We start from the raw sequence: 25159 nt of genomic DNA on the forward strand, positions 1-25159 counted from the left end.
GCGGTGGCTCATGCCTGTAATCCCAGCACTTTGAGAAGCTGAGGCGGGCAGATAACCTGAGATAAGGAGTTCAAGACCAGCCTGGCTTACGTGGCAAAAACCCGTCTCTACTAAAAATACAAAAATTAGCCGGGCATGGTGGAGGGCACCTGTAATCACCGCTACTTGGTAGGCTGAGGCAGGAGAATCGCTTGAACCAGGAGGCAGAGGTTGCAGTGAGCTGAGATTGCACCATTGCACTCCAGCCTGGGCAACAAGAGCAAAACTCTGTCTCAAAAAAAAAAAAAAAAAAAAGAAAAAGAAAAAAAAAGCTGCATTACTTTATTTTGAAAAATCAAAATGTATCTCACTCTGAACTTCCTTGTAAACATGACTATGATTTACTAGAGGGCCCTTCCTTAGCATTGCTCAAGATTCCCTGGGGCATTATATAGTTATCCCATGTTGTCATGAAAGAAAAGATTCTTTTACATTTTAAATTTTTTTTTTTTCTGTGACAGGTCAGCTGAGGAGAGGAAAGGATTCTTAGCTTGAGTTCACTCCAGTTGCCTAATGTCATGCCCATTGCTCAAGCCCATGTGGCCTGTTTGAAGGTAGGCTGCCCTGCTTCTTGTGAAGTGTCCTCCTCCATGCTCAACTCAGCCCTAGCAGCCTTCTCCAAAGCTTGCAAGGCCATGGCAGTATTGAGTCACCAGCCATTTATATGCATGTCTTATCAGCAGTCCTACCACCTATTGGGATTCTGACTGGGAATAAGACCCAAGTCCCTACCCGCCTTAGGAAATCCTCTCTATGGCCCAGTCAACCCCATCATCAATTTCAAACAATAACCTCACCTTCTGAGTAGTGGATTGAGGAAGCATAATCTTCCTTAATGCGTCTGAATCCCAAACAGTTTAATTTTGTCCCTAAGAGTTCAGTGTGTGTTTATTGAGAGGAGGAGGGGCAATTGCAGTGACAGCAAACTTCATCTCTTTGGATGAAAAACAGAAAAAGAGATAATTTTTTTAACCATGGTGAGTCAACAGCAGGGAAATCCAAAAATAGCATTAAGCAACAAACACAACTTACCAGTTGGTTTGTTGTGTGCCCATCCCCTCTCAATAGACATGGGTCTTGAGGATAAGAGCTTTGTTTCTTTATAAATGGGTCTTCGGCACTCAACATAGTACATGTTATCAGCCAATAAATATTGGCTCAGTGGCCAGGAGAGGTGGCTCATGTCTGTAATCCCAGCACTTTGTGCAGCCAAGGCAGGAGGATCACTTGAGCCCTGGAGTTCGAGACTAGCCTGGGCAACACAGTGAGACCTCATCTCTACTAAGATAAAATTTTAAAAATTAAGCTGGGCCTGGTGGCACACACCTATAGTCTGAGCTACTTGGGAAGCTGAGGTGGGAGGAATGCTTGAGCCCAGCCTGGACAACATAGTGAGATCTTGTCTCAGAAAAAAATGCTCAATGAACTGAATGTATTGTCAGTTACTATTTGTGTCTTCTAGAATAATTCTGGTCTTAGAAACTTTTAGATGCATTAAAATATGAAACTAGTTGAATAGAATTCAAGGACAAATCTCTGTTCTTCAACCATAACATCTTGATAAATTTGCTCCCAAATGAACAAGGAATATTGGTTATCAAATATGCTAAATTGAAATTTTAAAATTCTGAGATCTAAAATAGATCTCAGCTCTGCTTTTAACCCCTGAGAAGTCATTCTATCTCTTTGTACCACTGTGTCTCTTCACATATTGTGAAGTTACTAAAGTGTTCTGAATTTAGATGAAAAGTACACACTGTTCATGGAGGGTACAGGAATATTTTTGAAAGTAAAATATTTGATGGGTACACAGACACTTGTACTTTGCTTTTGTTACATATTTAGCAGTTAGTTTATATCACTGACAAATAGCAAGAACATTTCATGTGAGAACAAGGAAGTACCTTGGTTACTGTGCAGTTATCAGTGTACACTTCAAAACCTGTGCTATTTTACTACCTCTGTTCGTAAAATTCCTTCATTAAAAATGTAATTGTAAGCCAATTTTCAAGCCTGTTCTTTAGATAGCTAAAGCCCCATGCTGCTGCTTTTCATCCTTTCTCTATCTAATAAATATTCACCACGAGACCACCACCATGCATTAAAGATTACAGTCACTCTGATAGAAATTACTTATAGGACTTGTTATGGCACAAATTAGAGAGAAGAGATTGAATTCTGGAGACTGAAATGACCCATGAAGGTGTATTTATCCAGCACATATTTATGAAGACATCTTCACCAGGAGCCACAGTGGGCTCTGATAAAAGCTATGATTTATCAGTAAATGCTACTCTCAAGAAGATTGTTATTTCTAGAGGTGGAAACAACACAAACACACAAATAACTATAATTTAGGACGTGAAGTGATAAATAGTATAAGACGAATGGAGTTTAGGAGCGGTAGTGACCATTTTCAGCTAGAGGAATTGAGCATTTCAGCTTAGAAGGGTCAGCTTAGAAGGGTCATTGAACTATGCCTTAGAGAATGGACTATAATCCATTTGGACAAGGGCTGACTGGGGAGGGAGGTAACATGATGCAAGGAACACCTTGAACAATGACATACACTCTGACCAGGAGAGGCAAATCAACTGCTTCAAACAATAGTGAATAGTCATGTGTCATTGTATTTCCTGCTTGGGTATATAAAATGTGCATATTTCATTGAAATAATGAAAGGTATAATTATGAAACATATGCTCTGTTATTTGCTACTTCATAAATATTCAAAAATGACCAACAGAAAATATATTGAGAGTAAAATAGTACTTTCTGAAGTCCTTTTAATTGTTTTCCACATTTTTCTTGTCAAAGTAAGCTGTTAGCTCAGCTATTGGATTAGTCAGAGTTCTCCTGAGAAATAGAACCAATAGGACGTATACATGAATACATATATGTATGTATATATATCCATATACACATAAGTACAAACACAAATATGTATGTGTATGTGTGTGTGTGTATATATATCCTATTTGTTGGACAGAGAGATTGAGAGCCAGAGCGAGAGTGAGAATGAGTGAGCCAGAGAGAGAATGAGTGAGCCAGAGAGAGAGAGAGATTGTAAGGAATTGAATCACACAATTATGGGGGCTGGCAAGTCTGAAATTTGAAGGGCTGTTAGGTAGGGAAAATTCTGGCAGGTGTTTATCTCACAGTCTTGAGTCTGATGCAATTTGGAGGCAGAATTTCTTCTTTGAGGCGGGGGAAACCTCAGTCTTTTCTCTTAAGGCCTTCTACTGATTAGTTGCCCACCCACATTAGCCAATTCAAGTTGACACATGAAATTGACCGTCAGAGCTGTCATGAATCATGAAGACATGGCAGTAATGAAAACAGGGGAAACAGTAAAGTCTTTCCTTTGCTTACACAGCTCATTATGTTTTATAAATGTTTTTGCATATATAATCATTAAAAATCCTGTGAGAAAAGAAGGTAGCATATTATTATAAACAGTTTCTAAATGACAAATCTGAGGCACAGAGAGATTAATAATCTGGAAGTTTAGGGAACTAGAAGTGGCACAGCTGATGTTAGAGTTAGAACTGATGTCTTCAGATTCATTATCTAGTGTTCTTTCTGTTGTGCCATCTACTAGTGCCAACCCAAATTTCTATAGCATTCATTATCTGTAACGCTCTCTTGAAACTTAGTGCAAAGTACCTTTATGGATATATATTCTATCTATCCAACTAAATTCAAAGACATGCCTTTTTTTTTTTTTTTTTTTTAAATATGGAACGCTTCACGAATTTGCGTGTCATCCTTGCGCAGGGGCCATGCTAATCTTCTCTGTATCGTTCCAATTTTAGTATATGTGCTGCCGAAGCGAGCACCAAAGACATGCCTTTTTATGGCCAACCATATTATGTACTACATATAATTGAATATGAGTAATTTTTTTTTTAAGATGGAGTTTTGCTCTTTCACCCCGGCTGGAGTGAAGTGGCATGACCTTGGCTCACTGCAACCGCTGCCCCCCGAGTTCAAGCGATTCTCCTGCCTCAGCCTCCCAAGTAGCTGGGATTACAGGCACCCACCACCACACTCGGCTAATTTTTGTATTTTTAGTAGAGACAGGATTTTGCCATGTTAGCCAGGCTGGTCTTGAACTCCTGACCTCAGGTGATCCACCCGCCTCGGCCTCCCAAATTGCTGGGATTACAGTCAGGAGCCACTGTGCCTGGCCTGAATATCAGTAAGTATTTTTTTCGAAGAATAAATTCTGCTATATATTCTGTTTATGCTGGTAACGATTTGTTTATGCAGCTTGTGGTGACAGGCTCCTTGAATTAGTTTTCACAGCATGTAGAATGGTGCCACAGTGTTTTTCATAAAGCTGGGAAGTCCGAAAGGCCTGAATTCCTTATATTTAAAAGGGCTTATGAGTCATGTCAACATGGGCATGTTGTTCAACTTTAAGTTCTAATTTCTTTATCTGTAAAAAGAGAATGATAATAGAACTTCAGTAATTCATCATGTAAATAGAAAATGATTTATTGTCTGTGTAAAGTTATGAATAGCTTCTTTACACTCAAGATACAAGAGATGGTATGCTTCTTTATTTTCTAAATAAAGCCATCTCCAAATCATAACTTATCAGGGTCAATGATAAGCTCAATATCAGTGATTAATTGGGGTTATCCTCACTGGAATTTACAAAAACCCTGGGGCTTACATATTCCCAGGAAAAGGGGAAGGGCCTGGTTCTTGGTCCACAGGGATAGCCATTTACCCCTTGGCTCCACTTGGGTGCTGTGCACAGGGCCATTTTGTATACAACCTTCACAGACATGGATGGCAGCTCAGTCTTCCAAATGTTCAACAGTAGTTGAGCATGGTTTCTTTGCCATGCACTGGAGACGGCCTCCTTGGGTGAGCTGGCCCAAAACTTCCTCAAAATTCCTCTCTGCTGACTGCTTAGTCACAAATGTCTTAAAAAGATGCTCAAGACATAGCATTTAATGGCCAATTCTCATCTGTTCCAAACACCTGTTCCCATACAAGGACTTGTAACCTCCAGAATGCCAAGTCCAAGCACGTGAAGAAATTCACAATTCTCCCAATGTTTGCATCTGTGAAACCAACTGCAAGGTTGGGCCAATCTCCCAAAGCCTCTATTTTCATCTTCTTTGGGACAGTCCAGTTTAATTTCTTCATTGGCTGAGAGCTTTGAAATGAGCCCTATGAACTCTCACTCTGAGGACAAGGGAACTCTAGACCTCAAGGGCATAGAGCCCTGACCTCATTGTTTCACTGATGAGAAGAAAATAGGGGGAAAAAAATCAAGGTATCAATAAATTCTTCAGGAAGTCACACTGTTACACAGGCAGATCACATAGCACATAGAAACTGCTCACATTAGTTTGCTTTTTATCATTATTTAGAACACGGTACGTATTTATTGGTTATGCTCCACTGAATCTTCCACCTCTTGAGATGCCTTAAGTTGTGGAAGTAAGAGCCTGGCTTTTGGAGTCAGACAGCTCTGGTTCTGATTCCTGGCTTTGCCTCTTATCTCTTTGCACTTAGGTAAATTACCTTGCTGAGGTTCAGTTTTTCTTCTGTAAAATTAATTGTGAAGGTTAAATGCACTGAACACAGATAGCTGTAGCTTTATCTGCCAGGGCATACAAATAGTCACATATATAATAATAGTCCAAATCTCAAGGCTTGGAGCCCACACCTGCTTGACTGGGTCTTTTAGTAGAAGCCCCTCCTGTTAATTTATTCTGTCTGGGAGGTCCCATGGGTGAGGTTTGCCCACAATTTCCTTTATTCTCATGCCCTGTCTCATCCCCAGACTGCTGATCTCTTGCTTTTCTCCCTCTCTGACTGGTAGGAAAACTCCCTTAGAGTCTCATGATCAGAGACGTTTTTCACAGAAGAGTTAGGGCCCTAGAAACAGATGTAACTGACATCCTAGCCTTCTACTGTCATAACACATTGATGCTCAGGGGGAAGGGAGTAATATCAGGTAAGGTCAAGCTCCCTCCTACCATGGTCCACTGCTCCTCTGACATTCAGGCAGGCTACCAGTTCAGCCTGCTCTTCCAGACCTCCTCTCATAGGCTCTGAGGTCCCTTCGGGCCAGCCTTTTTCAGGGGATCCCAGTCCCCTAGACTGGTGTGTGGATGCCTTAACACAGTTGGTGGACCAGGATTGAGCTCTCTTCTACAGCTATCCTAAGACCATGCAAAACAAGGTATGTGTCTGAGCATCAGTTGTGGTGTTTCAAAACATTCTGTGATGGTCAAGAAGCTTTGGAACTTTGTATAACAGGAAGCTGTGCTATCCAGGATGTACAGAGGGTCTCATGCCATGCTCCAAACTTGATCTGGTCCAAAATATTCCTTAAAGCAACTAGTGCTTGCCACACAATAAGCTACTTATTTTGCCTTCTTTGCTTAAGAACAATTTGAAGTATTTGCTAGACAGTTGTCTCTAAATATTTTACCCTTATGCCTAACTGTTTTACAGTGATAAAATCTGAGACCCAAAGTTGTCTGGGTCATGTTATTATATAGAACATCTCAGGACTTGGGAGATTACTATCTGATATGGTTTTGCTGTGTCCCCACCCAAATCTTATCTTGAATTGTTGTTTCCATAATCCCTAGATATCATGGGAGGGACCTGGTGGAAAATAATTTAATCATGGGGGCCGTTAGCCTCATACTCTTTTCATGATAGTGAGTTCTCACGAGATCTGATAGCTTTATAAGCGACTTTCCCACTTTTGCTAGGCACTTCTTGTTGCTACCCTGTAAAGAAGGATGTGTTTGCTTCCCCTTCCCCCATGATTGTAAGTTTCCTGAAGCTTCCCCAGCCATGCTGAACTGTGAATCAATTAAATCTCTTTTCTTTATAAATTATCCAGTCTCAGGTATGACTTTATTAGCAACATGAGAATGGACTAATACAGTAAATTAGCACCACAGAGAGTGGGGTGCTGCTGTAAAGATACCCCAAAATGTGGAAGCGACTTTGGAACTGGGTAACAGGCAGAGGTTGGAACCATTTGGAGGGCTCAGAAGAAGACAGGAAAATTTGGAAAAGTTTGGAACTTCCTAGAGACTTGGAGGGCACAGAAGGCAGGAAGATGTGAGAAAGTTTGGAATTTCCTAGAAACTTGTTGAATAGTTTTGACCAAAGTGCTGATCATGATGTGGACAACAAAGTCCAGGCTGAGGTGGTCTCAGATGGAGATGGGGAACTTTTTGGGAACTGGAGCAAAGGTGACTGTTACACTTTAGCAAAAAGACTGATGGCACTTTGCCTCTGCCCTAGAGAACTGTGGAACTTTGAACTTGAGAGAGATGATTTAGGGTATCTGGTGGAAGAACCATCTAAGTGGCAAAGTGTTCAAGAGAAAGCAGAGCATAAAAGTTTGAAAAATTTGCAGACTGACAATCTGATAGAAAAGGAAAACCCATTTTCTGTAGAGAAATTCAAGCCAGCTGTAGAAATTGGCATAAGTAACAAGAGGTGAATGATAATCACCAAGACAATGGGGAAAATGTCTTCAGGGCATGTCGAGACCTTTGTGGCAGCCCCTCCCATCACAGGCCTGGAGGCCTAGGAGGGAAAAATTGTTTCCTGGGCCAGGCCCATCCCCTGACCCCCTCTGCTCTATGCGCCTTGAGACATGGTACCCTGAGTCCCAGCTGCTTCAGCTCCAGCCATGTCTAAGAGGGGCCAATGTACAGCTCAGGCTGTTGCTTCAGAGAACATAAGTCCCAAGCCTTGGCAGCTTACATGTGGTTTTGAGCCTGTGGGTGCGCAGAAGTCAAGAACTGAGATTTGGAAACCTCTGCCTAGATTTCAGAGGATGTACGGAAACACCTGGATGTCCAGGTAGAAGTTTGCTGCAGGGATGAAACCCTCATGCAGAACCTCTGCTAGGGCAATGCAAAAGGGAAATGTGGGGTCAGAGCTGTCACACATAGTCCCTAGTGTGGTTCTGCCTGGTGAAGCTGTGAGAAGAGGGCCACTGTCCTCCTGACCCCAGAATAGGTAGATCCACTGATAGCTTGCACTGTGTGCCTGGAAAGGCCACAGAGACTTAATGCCAGCCCCTGAAGGCACCCAAGAGTGGAGCTGTACCCTGCAAAGCCACAGGGGCTAAGCTGCCCAAGGCCATGGGAGCCCACCTGTTGCATCAGCATGCGCTGGATGTGAGACATGGAGTCAAAGGAGATAATTTTTTAACTTTAAGGTTTAATAACTGCCCTACTGGATATTGGACTTGCATGCAGCCTGTAACCCCTTAGTTTTCACCAATTTCTTCCATTTGGAATGGGTGTATTTACCCAATGCCTGTACCCCCATTGTATCTAGGAAGTAACTAACTTACTTTTGATTTTACAGGCTCTTAAGCAGAAGGGACTTGCTTGTCTCAGATGAGACTTTGGACTTGGACTTTTGAGTTATTGTTAGAATGAGTTAAGACTTTGGGAAACTGTTGGAAGGGCATGATTGTGTTTTAAAATGCAAAGACATGAGATTTGGGAGGGGCCAGGAGTGGAATAATATGGTTTGGCTGTGTCCTCATCCAAATCTCATGTTGAATTGTAGTTCCCATAATCCTCATGTGTCATGGGAGGGTTCCGATGGGAGGTAATTTAGTCATGGGGTGTTTTCTCAAGTTCTTCTCATGATAGTGAGTTCTCACAAGATCTGATGGTTTTATAAGGGGCTTTCCCCCCTTTTGATCAACACTTCTTGTTGCCACCCTGTGAAGAAGGATGTGTTTGCTTCCCCTTCTGCCATGATTGTAAGTTTCCTGAGGCCTCCCAAGCCATGCTGAACTTAAGTCAATTGAACCTCTTTCCTTTATAAATTACCCAGTCTTGGGTATGTCTTTACTAGCAGCATGAGAACAGACTAATATACTATCAATGAAACATATGAAGTTGTAAGTATGACTGGGTTGATAAGAAATGCTACTAGTTTAGTTACCAAGGAAGAGGAAGAGTCACAGTACTGCATCATGGTTGGATCCATATAGCTTGGACCCAACATGTGAAAGATTCTTACCCCAATGGAGCAGAATAAAACTGGTTCCTTGAGTACTGTTTGACAGAGACACATAGGATAAGATGCTTCGTTTAAGAGTATAGGGTGAACCAAATAAACAAAAACCTTCCTCAGGGTTTATGAGAAGGCAGGAATCCAATTGTTTGCAAACTATATTGCAGGGAAATGAAGCCTCTGTAAAGCTTGTATTTAGGTGAACTTTGAACTTTTGCCAATGCAAAGAATAAGCACTATTTGCAAATCCCCAGAAGGCACTGAAGGCACCAAGCAACAATTCAAACACAGAACAGCATGGATTAGACATCATGGGAACAGACAACTGTGGAGCCTCATAGGAAGAGTCATCCAGACCTGGCCAAACCTGAGACAATTCCTTCTGTCACTTGGATTTAGGGATTCTCTCAAAATCTTTAAAGAAGAGAATCTGGAAAAAAAATGTTTTTAAAGAAACATTTACGTGGTGTTTATAAGTATACTATTAGCCTTTCAAGTTGTAATTATTTAATCTTTAAATCAACTATATGAGATGCTATCAGTTCTATTTATAGATTAAAAAACTGAGGCATAATTTGCCCAAGACAACAGAGCAAGCAACAACAGAACTAGGCCTAAAAATCAGGCAGTCTGTTGACACACAGAATTACCATATGACCTAGTAGTTCCACTTCTAGGTACATGTCCAAGATAAGTGAAAACGTGTCCACATAAAAACTTGTACACTAATGTTTATAGCAGCAGTATTCATAATAGCCAAAAGGTAGAAATAACCCAAATGTCCACCAACAGATGAATGGATCAACAGAATGTAGTATATATATACAATGGAATATTATTCAGCCATGAAAAAGAATGAAGTGCCAATACATATTACATACTACAGCATGGATAAACCTTGAAAATATTATATCAAGTGAAAGAAGCCAGTCAGAAAAGACCACATATTGTATGATTCCATTCATATACAATGTCCAAGATAGGCAAATCTATGAAGATAGAAAATAGATTGGTGGTTTCTTGTAAGTAGGGAGGTGATAGCTAAGGGGGAAACAAGATCTCAAAAAAAAAGTCAGGATCTGGATCAAGAGTCTGTGCTCTCAATTTCTGGGCTATGCCCATCTTTCTTGATCACAGAAGCCTACTGACTAGGACTTCTTGCTGTATATATTCACATACTATAAAATACATGTGGTTTTGGTATTCATATGGGGGCAAAGTCAGGTAAAAAGTATCCTTAAGGTAAAAGGTTAAAAAGAAGCCTGGCTTAATGAGACTCAATCGTAAATGGATGAGTAACAGGTTCTATGAAGTTTTAGCATCTATTTGCTATGACTATTCATGTACCCTTCTCTTTTTATAGAAAAGGTCTTCTATTCTCTCATTGCTACTGAACATCACAGAAAAAGCTATAATAAAGTGTCAGGGTAAAATTCCAGAACAGGTCCATCACATTGCTGCTCTGTTGAACTAAGTAACCTTTTAGTCAAATAAAACTCCAAACTTAATTGCTCAAGGAAGCAACGTTAAAATTCTGAGAAAAATGTCAGCTAAGTAAATGGGACCCAGATACTTGAAAGCTGAAAAGCCAAAAACTTATTTTTCTTGCCTTTGCAAAAACAAAACAAAAATAAAAACTATTATTTCTGAAATTGGCTAACAAATAAATCAAGTAGATATGAAAAAGGGCCCCTGTTGGCCTCTGCTGATAAGTACTAAGTAAATTGGAGATTGGAGGCCCACACTAAGGCCTGGGCCTAGCATATGTAAACTTTTTTAAATTACTAAGGCACATGGCTCTTTGAAGATAATAGTCTCAGGTTATAAGTAACCTTCTCATCATTACTAGACTCTGCTTTAACTCGCCTGGAATTCATACAAGTAGCTATCAATCAAAAATGGCAATTTGCAAAGTCATGCACTTTCTCTTTATCAATGTTTTCTAAGAAAAGCATTTTGTTCCCCAGGACTCAATTCCAAATTCTCAAAAAGCTTATATTTGAAAACTTAATTACACCTATGGCAATAATAATAATTTTAAAAAGTGCCCACAATTATAGATTCCTCAATAAGCAAGTCCACAAATTTTCCTTTTATTTTACCCACCAGAGGGTGCTACTTCCTTACATTTCCTAAAGATGTGGCCTGGCTTCTGAAGGAAATTTTTATATTGTTTTAAGTACCCTGTGTTGATATTCAAATTGGCAACTTTCTGTTATTCAAGACTCTGTAATGCAATAGGAATTTTGTAATTGGACACCTGTCAGCGGTAGTTACAGAGCTAGTTGCAACACACTCAGATGTTTAAAGTCACTCTTGTGTATTTAAGCCAGAAGTAAGGTCAAGTGATTACAGGTCAGTTGTGGTTATAGAAACTATGCAATTATCAGAGCCTCCACCCTTCTACTTGCTCAGTGCTTTATTCTTAATAAGGGAAAGAGTAGGTGTGTTCCTTCATCCCATAAACACTGCTTCATTTAAAGAGAGAGAGAGAGAGATTACCTACAATGATCTTAGAACCATAATTTAGCCCTAAATAAAGACTTATAAAGATCTTGCACTATCCTTTTCAAACCACAAAATGTAAAGCCATCTCTAAAAATGGATAATCATATTATCATGAGCTTAAAAGCAACCTTAGGAAAGACGAAGCTGAAACTAGGAGTGGGACAGGTGGTTGGGTGTGTCAATCACGTTCACGGGGCTGACAGAAACAGATCAAACATGCCATTTACTCCCTTCGTGGCATTCTTGCAATTAAATGAGTGGATAGGACAAGTTCTGACTAATAGAATGTTTGTGGATATAAGTGTGTCCTTTCCAGACTGAGGTAGTGAAAAGTCCATGCAGATTTCTCGTTTCTCTTTCCCTTTAATAGAATACCCAAGGAAGTGGCATATTTAGGATGAAGCAGCTACAAGATGGTGGCAGCTGAGTGACTGTGTGGAACATAAAATTCTGTTACTCTAGAGTATGGTCTAGGGGAGGGAAATAGGAAAGGAAGTAAGAGAAGTAACTGTGATCAGATTAGATAGAGCCTTGAAGGAAATGGGGAGCCATTGAAGAGCTTTGAGCAGAGGAGTGCCATGATCTGACTTAAGATTTTAAGAGAACACTACGCTTGCAACTAGACTGAAGGGGGCAATCATACAAGCAGGGAAACTTGTAAGAGGCTATTAAATAATTCAGGGCATCCACATTTATCAGAGTTCACTGTATATATCAGTAGACTCATTACAAACTCTTTTAGTATTGATAAAGTAATGTCATTTCTCTCTGACGGATTCACATTTAATGTATTTTCCTCTCTTTCTTCTCCTTATGTAAAGACATTATTTCTTTATTGTAGATTTCCCTTTAATTTTCTGGTTAAAATACAATCAGAAAAAAATTAATTTCATAGCTCCTTTTAAGCCAATATTTTCAGTTCCCTACTCTTTTATCAGCAGGCTCATTTTTCTAATCTTTTTGAAAATATAATACTATGGAAGGTATTTTATAAAGGTAATTTATAAATTTATAAAATTATAAAATAAAATTAAATTATAAATTATAAATTTATAATTTCAAAATAAAATTTATTTTGAAATTACACTGAGGCTGGGCACAGTGGCACATGCCTGTAATCCCAGCACTTTGGGAGGCCAAGGGGTGTGAATCTCCTGAGGTCAGGAGTTCAAGACCAGCCTGGGCAACATGGTAAAACCCTGTCTCTACTAAAAATACAAAAAATATATATAAATTTAAATGTTAGCAACATTTTGCTAACATTTTTGTTAATAATTTTTCATTTACTCATTTTGGTTCCATGTTTCTTGTTCTTTTTGTTCTTTTTATCAGATATGTTTTTCTACCAAGGAATGACTGCACTTTAAACAAGGTCTCTTATTTACTTCAATTCTAATATGAATTTTTGTTTGAATACATTATTTGGTACATGAAATCACTATTAACTAAAAATAGAAGTCTTGCCTGGACTTGGTAGCTCACGCCTGTAATCCCAGCCCTTTTGGAGGCTGAGGTGAGCTGATTGCTTGAGCGCAGGAGTTCGAGACCCACCTGGGCAACATGGTGAAACCCCGCCTCTACTAAAAATACAAAGCATCAGCTAGGCATGGTGGTGCGCCTGTAGTTTCAGCTATTGGAGGTGGGGCTGAGGTGGAAGGATCGCTTTAACTGGGTAAGTGGAGGTTGCAGTGAGCCGAGATCGCGCCACTGTACTCCAGCTTGGGCAACAAAGAAAGACTCTGTGTCAATTTTTTTTACTTTATTTATTTTTTTGAGACAGTCTTGCTCTGTCACCCAGGCCGGAGTGCAGTGGCGCGATCTCGGCTCACTGCAAGCTCCACCTCCCGGGTTCACGCCATTCTCCTGCCTCAGCCTCCTGAGTAGCTGGGACTACGGGCACCCGCCACCATGCCCGGCTAATTTTTTGTATTTTTAGTAGAGACGGGGTTTCACCGTGTTAGCCAGGATGGTCTCGATCTCCTGACTTCGTGATCCGCCCACCTCGGCCTCCCAAAATGCTGGGATTACAGGCGTGAGCCACCGTGCCCGGCCTGAAAATTAAAAAAAAAAAAAAAAAAATTAAAAAAAAAGAAGTTTTTCTTTTGATAGCTAAAATATCAAATAAGCATATCATCTTCTATGGTCTAATTAGAATGCAATCACTTCATTTTCTTGCATCTTTAACAATTCCATCTAGTGTAATACCGATTTAAAATCTCAATGTAATTTTTTTCTCTCTTTTTTTTTTGTTTTGTTTTTAGACGCAGTCTAGCTCTGTCACCTAGGCTGGAGTGCAGTGGTCTGATCTCGGCTCAGTGCAACCTCTGCCTCTCGGGTTCAAACGATTCTCGTGCCTCAGCCTCCTGAGTAGCTGGGATTACAGGCACGCGTCACCACGCTGGCTAATTTTTTTTTTGTATTTTTAGCAGAGACGGGGTTTTACCATGTTGCCCAGGCTGGTCTTGAGCTCCTGACCTCAGGAGAGCCACCTGCCTTGGCCTCCCAAAGTGCTGGGATTACAGGCGTGAACCACTGTGCCCAGCCTCAGTGTAATTTCAAAATAAAATTTATTTTATTTGGTACATGAAATCACTATTAATTAAAAATAGAAGTTTTTCCCAGGCTTGGTGGCTCACTTCTGTAATCCCAGCAATTTTGGAGGCCAAGGTGGGCTGATTGCTTGAGCGCAGGAGTTCGACACCCACCTGGGCAACATGGTGAAACCCTGTCTCTACTAAAAATACAAAGAATCAGCCAATGAGAATATGGTCAATTTAGGCATTATTCATATTATTTCTCATTCACTTTTGGTTTTCTTATTGAGGCAGTTAAATAAATCTTGTTAAATCTACTAAAACTTTTTAAAAATGATTGTCTTTTAAATTTATGTAGAATTGAGTGGGAGTGGGAATAGCATTGAGTTATTAATTCAGAAAAGGAATACTGATCTGTTTTCCATCCATGTACTTTAATATTCAATCAAAAATAGGTAAACTATTTTAAGGTACTCATTAGCTTGAACCATAAATTACCTGAGGCCTTTTCTCTCATGAAAGGCCTTTTCTCTCATGAAAGGATGAAAAAGTAAAAATTGACTTATTGAAGACAACTTAAATCCTAAAGTTAAATTACAAAATACGAAAACCTATTCTTATTTCTAAGCAGTTTAAACGTTCTCTATAAAAAATAAGGTAAGTAAATGTATCTTATTTATTTGATTTCATCAATTTTATTTCATGTTTGATTTTATAATCTTTTTTCAGTGTCCTAGTCCTCAATTTTGCAGGCTAAGTAGAAGTTATTACAAAACTTCTATTTTCAGTATTATACATCTCTTGAGTCTACAATTGCTACATATTTAGGCTGTTCATATAATTTATTGTCTAAATTGGGACAGTTTGGGGTATTAAAATGTGCACTACTAATTATCACACGAGGGCAACAGGTGTAAATTGTGATTCTCCCCAGCAAACCAGACTGCCTGGTCACCTATAGACAGGTGTGAGGGCAGTGCATTTTTTTCCCCCATGGTTTTTGTTCCTAGAGGGTAGAGGGTTTCTAGAATAGTATGGAAAACACTTTTATCTTTTCTTGTCTTTTCTCTTATTCCTCTCCAGGGGAGGAGGAGTGACTTTTCTGATTGATGAGTGTGTGAGAAGAAACTGAGCATATGATCTCCAAGTATGACTGTTGCCAAAGAAACCAATGTAATGCCTGATGCTTCCAAAAAGAAACATTTCCCCAGATACTTGTTGCAGAAGTTTCTGATATTATATAAAAAGGTTATTTTTTTGCTTCATATTCTAACTTAAATGTCCACTTGGACTTTTTTAAACTTAAATTAAATTTATTTAAACATACCCCTTTCCTCACCATAGTCCCCTCTACTGTAAATCTTTTAATAATCTTCAGATAGAATGCTCTTTTTAAAGGAGAGCTTTCATCTCATTTTTCCATATCAAGGATGACTTCTCTGTTCCTGACAATCCTCTGTTCAACTTTTAATAAATCAAGATAATTTGACTTAAATGGAACTTATGCCTTTTGGCACACATCAACAGTGCTTGTATTAGACAACAAATCAAGTTCCATTTACTTTGTCTTGTGTATTCTTTGGCTACATTTATTATTAATATAAATTTAAATATCTAACCCACATTGTAAATCCCAAGTTGGGAATTTTTTTTTTTCTTTTGAAGACGTCCCTACAAAAGAATACAGCCTGGGCATACGTTACTCTTCAACGCCCTATAGATCTTTTTATGGCACTGAATCTTTAATTTTAAAGACAGAAACAAAAGATACTAAAGGAAAAGCCAAGTATTAACTAATACTTTCATCTGCTTATAAAAATAAGATGGCTTAATAATTTTAAAAAGATGTAGTACCATTTCAAATAGGATACATATTTTAAGATTATGAAACATATGCAATTGTATACTACTATATTACACTACTGTGTAAGGTCAACCTTATGTCTTAAAATCTGTCATGACTGACCTTGCTGGTGTCTCGGGACTGAAAGACACTAGGCTCCATACACCTGATTATTTACTACAACTCTAAATCTGGTGTCATTCTGTTCCCTTAGCCTTTCAGGAGTAAATTCAGTTGAGTACCACAAAGTTGAGAGGCTGTACCATCCAAGCATTCCCTTCTTGAGAAATAATCCTCTCTCTACTCTAGCTGAAGTATCTCTAGGGAGAGATAAAGAGGCCACAGACTCCATGGGCAAGGTGGCATGCACCTCTAGTCCTAGCTACTTGGAGGGCTGAGATAGGAGGATTGATTGCTTTAGTCCAGGAGTTTGAGGCCTGCCTGGGCAATGTCTCTAAAAAATAAAATAAATTTTTTAAAAATTTTAAATTTAAATTGAATTTAAAAGAATTTTTAAAAAGGGGGCCACAGCGACATCATTTGCATGTAAAAAAGAATGCCGCCTTCACTAGACTGATTTACTCATAAACCCCTTCAATGTTTTAATACTTGTATACTGATATCTTTAATCAGCATCTAATGGCTTCAGCAAAGTTGCCTTTTCTTGGTTTTCATCTTCCACAGCTTGCCTTCCTTAAATGTTTGTGTTCCTTATCTTTAGGTACACTATACCGTCCTCCCAATTCTCTCAAGACTATTTTTCCTTTTATTATTGGACATTTTCCTTTTCGATATAAATGTAGGTGATTCTCAAAATTCTATCTTCAGATCTCATCTCTGTTCTGTAGATATTTTCCTCCTTTGCATCAACCATCACTTCAACACAGAAGATGCCCAATTTTATACTTCTAGAAAAATTCCTAACTGCCTGCAGCAGATCTCCATGTGAAGATATGTACACCCCCAAATCAGTGTCTGTTACCATTTGTACATGCCCTTTGTCTTTCTTCTTCTGCATCTTTCCTCTTGCCATTTCCTCCATCTGGAGTCCCTTTGCAATTTCAGCTTGTTGAAATTCTGCTTATGTTTCAAGCCTTAAATACCACCTCCAGCTTGAAGTTTATCCAGATCTTTTAAACCACATTTGATAGCTCCACGTTTTGAACTCACATGGCATTCTGGGTATGTCTAGCTTATGGAACTGATTTTACTCCACATAATATGTAGGTTATTTATATAATTGTCTTATCCTTATACTAGAGTTCACAATTTACTCCCACAATACTATATATGCTAAGAAAATGTAGCTTTCTCCCCTCTCTAACAAAGCTGATTATTCTCACAAGCTGCCACCCAACCTATGTGAATAAACACAGTAGCAAATGGCATATATAGTGTGACACTGTTTTTGTAACGAAGTATATGGTGAGTGTGGTTATGCACATATGTTTCTTGACTTTACCCACCATTGGGGATTACTGATTCACAGGTGTAATAATACTACAAATCCCAGTGCTCTGAGACCCCTCATATGGAAGTCTGGCCTTTTGCCCTGATTGTCCTCTTCAGTGTTTATCTTGAAGAGTCCTAGAGGAAGGGAGGGAAAAGATTCTCATTTAATCAGCACTTCAGGGTGCACAGGAAAAATATTACTTTTTGAGTAATAAGAATAAAATTAACCTTAATTTTGTCTATCTTTTTCTGTATTTTTTGCAATGATCATTAATTTTGTAACAGCTAATTTAAAAAAAGAAAAAGTTAGCACTCGTGCTATTCTCCTTGGTATTTTAAATAGGACGTATATGTTTCCTTCCTTCCAGTTCCCATCACATATATTCCCACACATACATTCCATGTGTGCACACACACATGGCCGCCCACACATTAGACCTTGAACTTCTTGGGCGGGATTTTGTGTCCATCTTTAGCATCTAACCATGAATGTGGTGGTGAACTCTGCTGATACTGAATTGAATCTGAATGTTAGAATCTTTACAAACTTTGGCTATAGATTATAGACATTATTCCACAGTTATTTCACAGGAAGTCCTTCAATAGATCTTTATATCAGTGAATTCTTATTGAGTATTTAAAATTTTTTATCTTAAGCACAATGATTTCACAGGTTATAAATGTAACCTATTCTCACTTCCAGATGTGGAGGTGGGGTCTCCTAAGCAGGATCTCAGAGATGAGCCCTTCCTTAACCTCTAGCCTTTCTTCCCCAGGTGGTTTGGAAAGGTGAAATCAGTGTAAATCAAGAGATTGTGCTATGTAGTGAATGGTAAGGGTGAAAAAGTTGTAAGTCCATTTATTTAGGTTTCCTATAATATAATCTCAATAAAGATGAATAACTTTCCCCTGTAAAGGCCTTGCGGAAGTTTTGAATCTTCTTTTGTCTTCTCTTCAATTATGCTAGTGAGTAGAAATACATCTGACTTTCATATATTAATCTTGTATCCAACAATCTGTTCAACCCTCCTATTATTTCACATAATTTGTAGATTCTTTTGAATATCTGCATAAGCAATAATGTTGTTGGATATGAATTTTATTCTTTTCCTTTCCAATTCTTATGTCTTTAAATGAAGGAAGGTATAAATGGAATTATATTATTGTAAAGTTATTACATTTTTGAAATGTGGAGTGTAAAATGTGAAGGGGGAAGTGAGAATTGAAAAGTGGGAAGTGGAAAGTGATAGGTATGAAATGTAAAGTGTGAATAACAGTAATACTGAAGCTAGGTAGACATTGATAATTTAAGTTATATTATCAGTCCCAGAACAACTACTAACAACATAATAAAAAAGAAATAGAATGATGGAGGCAGTAGATAAAGTGAAAGAGCAAGAAAGGCATGATATTTAATAAAAAAGAGAAGATACAAAATGAAAATAAGAAGTAAGATCATAGACTCAAAATCCACTGTACTAATTGTTACATTATGTAATATATTTATTATATTACATAAACACACCAGTTAAAAGGCAGAAATTGCAGTAAAAGAATCAGCAGGCTTTTTTGGTAGAAATGACTGGTCTATTTTAAAATATAGGCCGGGCGTAGTGGCAGGCACCTGTAATCCCAGCTACTTGGAGGCTGAAGCGGGAGAATCACTTGAACCCGGGAGGTAGAGATTGCAGTGAGGCGAGATTGAGCCACTGTACTCCAGCTTGGGTGACAACAGGGAGACTCCGTCCGAAAAAATAAATAAATGAGTAAATAAAATAAAATATATATGGAAATGCAAAGGATCTAGAGTATCCAAAACAATTTTGCAAAAGAAACATAAAGTTGAAGGAGTTATACCATCTGATTTCAAGACTCATCAACAAAACTGAAATAATCAAGACAAGATGAGGCTGGCATAATAGTACATACAGAGATCAATCAAATTATTGATGAGGTGAGAGTGTTGCACTGGGAGCAGCTGGCCTTGGAACATGGAGGGGAAAGGAGGATGCTGAAACCAAAGTAAGTTCCATAGGTGGGCTTTAGGTAGGCAGAAAGGAGGCCCCAACCTTGCCAAAGTAATGAAGGTTTTCCTTTCGTGTGGAGGCTTTAGTGTATTTAGTGTAGCTCATTCTTGGGAAATACTGCCAATTTCTCCATTACTCCTTAGTGTGGCAGTCTGATGTAGCCATAATCTTGCTTTCCTTTTTTTTTTGGGACGGAGTTTCACTCTTGTTGTCCAGCCTGGAGTGCAATGGTGGGATCTTGGCTCACCGCAACCTCTGCCTCACAGGTTCAAGCGATTCTCCTGCCTCAGCCTCCTAAGTAGCTGGGATTACAAGCATGCGCCACCACGCCCAAGTAATTTTGTATTTTTTTTTTTTTCAGTAGAGATGGGATTTCTCCATGTTGGTCAGGCTGGTCTCAAACTCCCAACCTCAGGTGATCCATCCAACCCAGCCTCCCAAAGTGCTGAGATTACAGGCATGAGCCACCACGCCCGGCCCTTGCTTTCCATTTCTCTCGTACTCCTTCTGTCTCTCTCTCTTCCTTTCACCTCAGTGGCCAGGCTAGTAGCTGTCTCCAGATGGTCACACCACTTTTTAGAAAGCAGTGCTCAAGGCTTCAGGCTAGTGAAAAAGCTTCACTCAGTCAGGTACTCCTAGTACTTAGGGAATGGGAAGGGACAGGATTGGCCTAGTTATTCCACAGGAAGTCCTTCAGTTGATCCTTATAGATGTCCTACAGTTACCCCAGCTCCTGGACCTTTTGGGGGAAAATTACATTACTGCATACAATTTCTTTTCCCCAGATTTAAAGCTTATGTGATATATAGCAATTTCCCTGCTTATTTCTGAAGGAGTTATAAACCTCATAGACTTTTTAGAGAATCATTTATTTCTTCGAAAAGAATCTAATCTGAACTGACCTGGCTTTAAATTTCTCATCAGAAATTTAAAATACAGGCAAACTTGAGCAAAATGCTTTTTTGTATCAAGTCTGCTTTAATCAATATTTCTCTTCTTTTTCTTTTCATAAAAGCTACTACTATTATCTCTTTGAGAAAACTAAAACCATAAATAATGTGCAGGTTTGAAAAAAATTGATCAATGCTGGATGTCATCATTAGAGTTCAAACTTCCTTTTAAAAAATTTTTTGACTTAATTTTACTTTTACTTTTTATGGTTTTTTTTTTTTTTTTTTTTGAGACAGAGTCTCGCTCTGTCACCCAGGCTGGAGGGCAGTGGTGCAACCTCTGCCTCAGCTCACTGCAACCTCTGCCTTTCAGGTTCAAGCAATTTTCCTGCCTCAGCCTCCTGAGTAGCTGGGATTACAGGTGTGTGCTGCCACGCCTGGCTAATTTTTGTATTTTTAGTAGAGATAGGTTTTCACCATGTTGGTTAGGCTGGTCTCGAACTCCTGAACTTAGGTGATCCACCTGCCTTGGCCTCTCAAGGTGCTCAGCCTCTCAAGGTGCCTGGCCTATTTTTTATGTATTTTTGAAGACAGGGTCTCATTCTGTCACCCAGGCTGGAGTGCAGTGGCATGATCATAGTTCGCGGTAGCCTCAACCTCCCAGACTCAAGTGATCCTCCTGCCTTAGCCTTCTGAGTAGCTAAGACTTCAAGTGCATGCCACCACATCCAGCTAATATTTTTAGCTGGATAATTATTATTATTATTATTATTATTATTATTATTATTATTTTGTAGAGACAGACTCCCACTGTGTTTCCCAGGATGGTCTCAACTTCTTGGGCTCAAACAATACTCCCACCTCGGCCCCCCAAAGTGGTGTGATTACAGGCATGAGGTACTATAGTTGCCCAGCCAGGGCTCAAGCTTTCGTGCAAACAAGACCCTCCATAAAAGAAAATCTCATCTTTGCTTGGAATGCCTGATAATACATTACAAAAGGCTTTATGGTATATATGTAAACCTTTGTTGATTAAAAGTTCTTGCAAATTCCAATGTGATTTTTTTTACTGGGTCCTAGGTTTAACAATGCTTTATCATAATGAACTTAGTGATTGATGATTTCATAGTACATAAGAATGTGTTTCCCTGATAAGACTTGCTATCCTTGAGTGGAAAGAATGAAATTCCCGGTTGCATAGAAATGTGTACACACACACACACACGCATGCACACATATTTTATATGTATCATCACGTGTGTGTGTGTGTGTGTGTGTGTGTGTGTGTGTGTGTGTGTGTGTATTTTCTGGTTTAGACCATCTCAGTAGGTTCACATTTCAGTGGCAGAAAATGTATGAAAAAAAGCATGGTAAAGCCTCATGCTCATTTTGGACGCTGTCCTTGGCAGAACTGAAAAGAGACCTCATAGAACTCTGACAGATCTAGACAGAAAGCTGATGCCCTTTCTCTCTAGATCTTCCCACTACAGAATGTCTAAGATACCAATGGTCTTAGTCTGTTCAGGCTGCTATAACAAAAATATCTTAAACTGGATGGCTTATAAACAACAGAAATTTATTTCTCACAGTTCTGGAGGCTGAGAAGTCCACAATCAAGGTCCCAATAGATTTGGTGTCTGGTGAGGGCCTGCTCCTTAGTTGGAGCACCTTTTCACTGTTTCCTCACATGGTGGAAGGGGTAAAGGCCATTCTCTGGGGCCTTTGTAATAAAGGCACTAATCACATTCATGAGGGCGGAGCCTTCCAAATCATCTCCCAAAGGCCCAATTGTTAATATAATCACATTAGAGATTAGGTTTCAACATATGAATTTTGAGGGGACACAAATATTCAGACCATAGTACCACTGACAAGAAGGAGGATATAATTGGAACTGATTATTCATCTCCCTTGAAGAATCCATCAGAACTCATTCCATCATGCCTTTAACACATGAAGTCCAAATTCCCAAATTATTATTTGTCTTTTGTGTGTTCTTCTTTACACTCTCTAATGGAGCCAAGATCATGCCACTCCCTGACCCTGAAAACCTGTCCATTATGTTCTTTGTAACTTAAAATCTCCAATCAAGAGAATCCCCTAGATCAAATACATCTTCTCTGAGTTTCTCTGTATTTTCTTGCTGTAATAGAAAACTGGCTGTCCTCCAAGTGCACTGCGTGCACTGCTTCCCTTGCAGCAGTATTCTTTCTTTCTTTTTTTTCTTCTTCTTTTTTTTTTTTTTTTTTTTGAGACAGAGTCTGACTCCGTTGCCCAGGCTGGAGTGCTGTGGCGTGATCTCGGCTCACTGCAACCTCCACCTCCCAGGCTCAAGTGATCCTCCTACCTCAGCCTCCCGAGTAGCTGGGACTATAGGCATGCACCATCATGCCTGGCTAATTTTTGTATTCTTTTTTGTAGAGACAGGGTTTCGCCTTGTTGCCCAGACTGGTTCAGAATTCCTGGCCTCCAGTGTTCTGCCCCCTTCAGCCTCCTAAAGTGCTGGTATTACTTGTGTGAGCCACTGCCCCCAGCATTTGCAACATTCTTTCTTGCATTAAGTACATTCATATCATTGTAGCCATCACCACCATCCATCTCTAGGACCTTTTCTTCTGCATCTCTCTTACCTGCTAGTTGTGTTCTCTCTCACCTGTCACATCCCACTGGACAGGGAGGGAGCAAGTGTCCCTTCCATTAACAATTTATTGAACAGCCCCAGTTGATTGAAGCATATGCCATCAGATCAAACTGAAGAGCAGACTAAACCCCTCAAAGTTATAGTCACCTACAGATCCTTAGTCTCAACAACCAGATTTTAGCACTTCAGTCACTAATTAGGTTTATAAAATTAAATTCAAAGTTTAGTAAAAGTTAACTCTTTTTTCGTTCTTCTGGATTAAATCTGATGGAAGAAAATCTGCCAGGAGAAAAGACAAGGAGTGTTTCACTTCTTCTCTATCCCTTGCCAAGTGCTTTTCCCCAAATACTAGGTTGCTTCTGGTTCCTGCATGGTTGAAGTGTGGGTATCAGTGGCTGCAAGAGAAGCAGCAAATGTTTACTTGACAGGTGTCAATCTGAAATTGGCTCTTTAAAGCTGACTTTCTTCTTGTGAGGGGTTTCATGGCAAAATGAATGAAAAAGTTGAAAGACAACAAGAAACTGGAAAAAAAAAACCCGTGTTACTTCATACTATAATATTTGGTGTAATTACCATAATATAGTTCACAATATATTTAAGAAACTCCTTGTTGGTCACATAGATGTTGTTTCTAGGATTTTCTATTACAAACATAGTAGCAGTGAATGCAATTGCATCTATAACTTTCTTCATTCAAGTAGACTTTACTTTTCAGAGCACTTTTAGGTTCCTAGCAAAATTGAGCAGAAAGTAGAGAGACTTGTTGTATACTCCCTTCTCCCTGACATCACAACCTTCCCTGCTATTGACATGTCCCACCAGAGTGGTACATTTATTATAACTGATGAACCTACATGGACATGTTCTTATTATCCAATGCCTATAGTTTACATTAGGGTTCACTCTTCGTGTTGTGCATTCTATGGCTTTTGACAAATGTATAACGGCATGTATCCACCATTAAAGTATTACACAGAATAGTTCCACTGCTCTCCAAATCCACTGTGTTCCACCTATTCATCTGTCCCTCTCCCCAACCCTTGGCAACCACTAAATTTTTTTATTGTCTCCATATTTTTTCTTTTCCAGAATGTCATGTATAGTTGGAATTGTACAATTTGTAAGCTTTACAGATAGTTTATTTCACTTAGTAAGATGCTTACTTAATTCTCTTAGTAATATTAAGTTTACTCCACATCATTTCAGTGCTTGATGGCTCATTTCTTCTTAGCACTGAATAATATTCCATTATCTGGATGTACCACAGTTCATTTATCTACTCACCTACTGAAGGACATTTTGGTTGCTTACAGATTTTGGCAATTATGAATAAAGCTTCTATAAACATTCTTGTGCAGATTTTTGTGTGGGTGTAAGTTTCCAAGTTGGTTGGGTAAATGCCAAGGAGCATAATGATTGGATTGTATGGTAAGAGTATATGTAATTTTGTGAGAAATTGCCAAACTGTCTTGCAAAATAGCTGTAGCATTTTGCATTCCAATTGGCAATGTATGAGAGTTTCCTGTTGCTACACATCCTCACCAACATTTGGAGTTGGAATTGTTCTGGATTTGGGCCATTCATTAATAGGCATGTAGTGGTGTCTCATTGCTGTTTTAATTTGCAATTCTCTAAGGACATATAATGTTGAGCATCTTTTCATATCTGTATATCTTCTTTGATGAGATGTCTGTTCAAGCCTTTTGCTCATTTTTAAATCTGTTGTTCATTTTCTTGTTGTTGAAATTTAAGAGATTTTGTATATTTTAGATAACACTTCTTTGTTAGATATGTCTTTTGCAAATATTTTCTCTTAGTCTGTGGCTTGTCTTCTCATTTTCTTAACAGTGTCTTTCACAGATGAGATGTTTTTAATGAAATCCAGTTTGTCAACTATTTCTTTCATGGATTGTGCCTTTAGTATTGTATCTAAAAAGTCATCTGCTTGTCTAAGGTAATCTAAATTTTCTCCTATATTATTTTCTAGGAGTTTTATAGTTTTATATTTTACATCTAAGTATTTATACCTTTTTTGTTGTTGTTGTTGTTGTTGTCGGAGAGGGAGTCTCACTCTGTCACCCAGGCTGGAGTGCGGTGGCACAATCTCAGCTCACTGCAACCTCCATCTACCAGGTTCAAGTGATTCTCCTGCCTCAGCCTCCTGAGTAGCTGTGATTACAGGTGCACAC

The 25159-nt window shown here is 39.0% G+C and overlaps 1 protein-coding gene and 1 pseudogene across 1 annotated transcript in view, besides 2 other annotated features; one reads left to right on the plus strand and one right to left on the minus strand.

Moving 5' to 3' along the window:
* Positions 1 to 25159, plus strand: part of HYAL4 (hyaluronidase 4) — a 113774-nt gene that overhangs the window by 23126 nt on the left and 65489 nt on the right. Inside the window, exon 2 of the mRNA XM_047420093.1 lies at positions 501 to 593. The gene's annotated coding sequence lies outside the window, so the exon portion shown is untranslated. The remainder of the gene's footprint in view (positions 1 to 500; positions 594 to 25159) is intronic.
* On the minus strand, positions 3774 to 3878 carry RNU6-11P (RNA, U6 small nuclear 11, pseudogene; annotated as a pseudogene).
* Positions 11132 to 11653: an enhancer, noted in NCBI's record as "OCT4-NANOG-H3K27ac hESC enhancer chr7:123438019-123438540 (GRCh37/hg19 assembly coordinates)". NCBI's record gives its function as "activates a minimal SCP1, AML or CMV promoter by ChIP-STARR-seq in primed H9 embryonic stem cells {active_cell/tissue: H9 hESC(primed)}" and the evidence as "EXISTENCE:reporter gene assay evidence [ECO:0000049][PMID:30033119]".
* Positions 11654 to 12175: an enhancer, noted in NCBI's record as "H3K27ac hESC enhancer chr7:123438541-123439062 (GRCh37/hg19 assembly coordinates)". NCBI's record gives its function as "activates a minimal SCP1, AML or CMV promoter by ChIP-STARR-seq in primed H9 embryonic stem cells {active_cell/tissue: H9 hESC(primed)}" and the evidence as "EXISTENCE:reporter gene assay evidence [ECO:0000049][PMID:30033119]".

This window comes from Homo sapiens, chromosome 7 (assembly GCF_000001405.40).
Source record: "Homo sapiens chromosome 7, GRCh38.p14 Primary Assembly".
In the NCBI taxonomy this organism is placed as follows: Eukaryota; Metazoa; Chordata; class Mammalia; order Primates; family Hominidae; genus Homo; species Homo sapiens.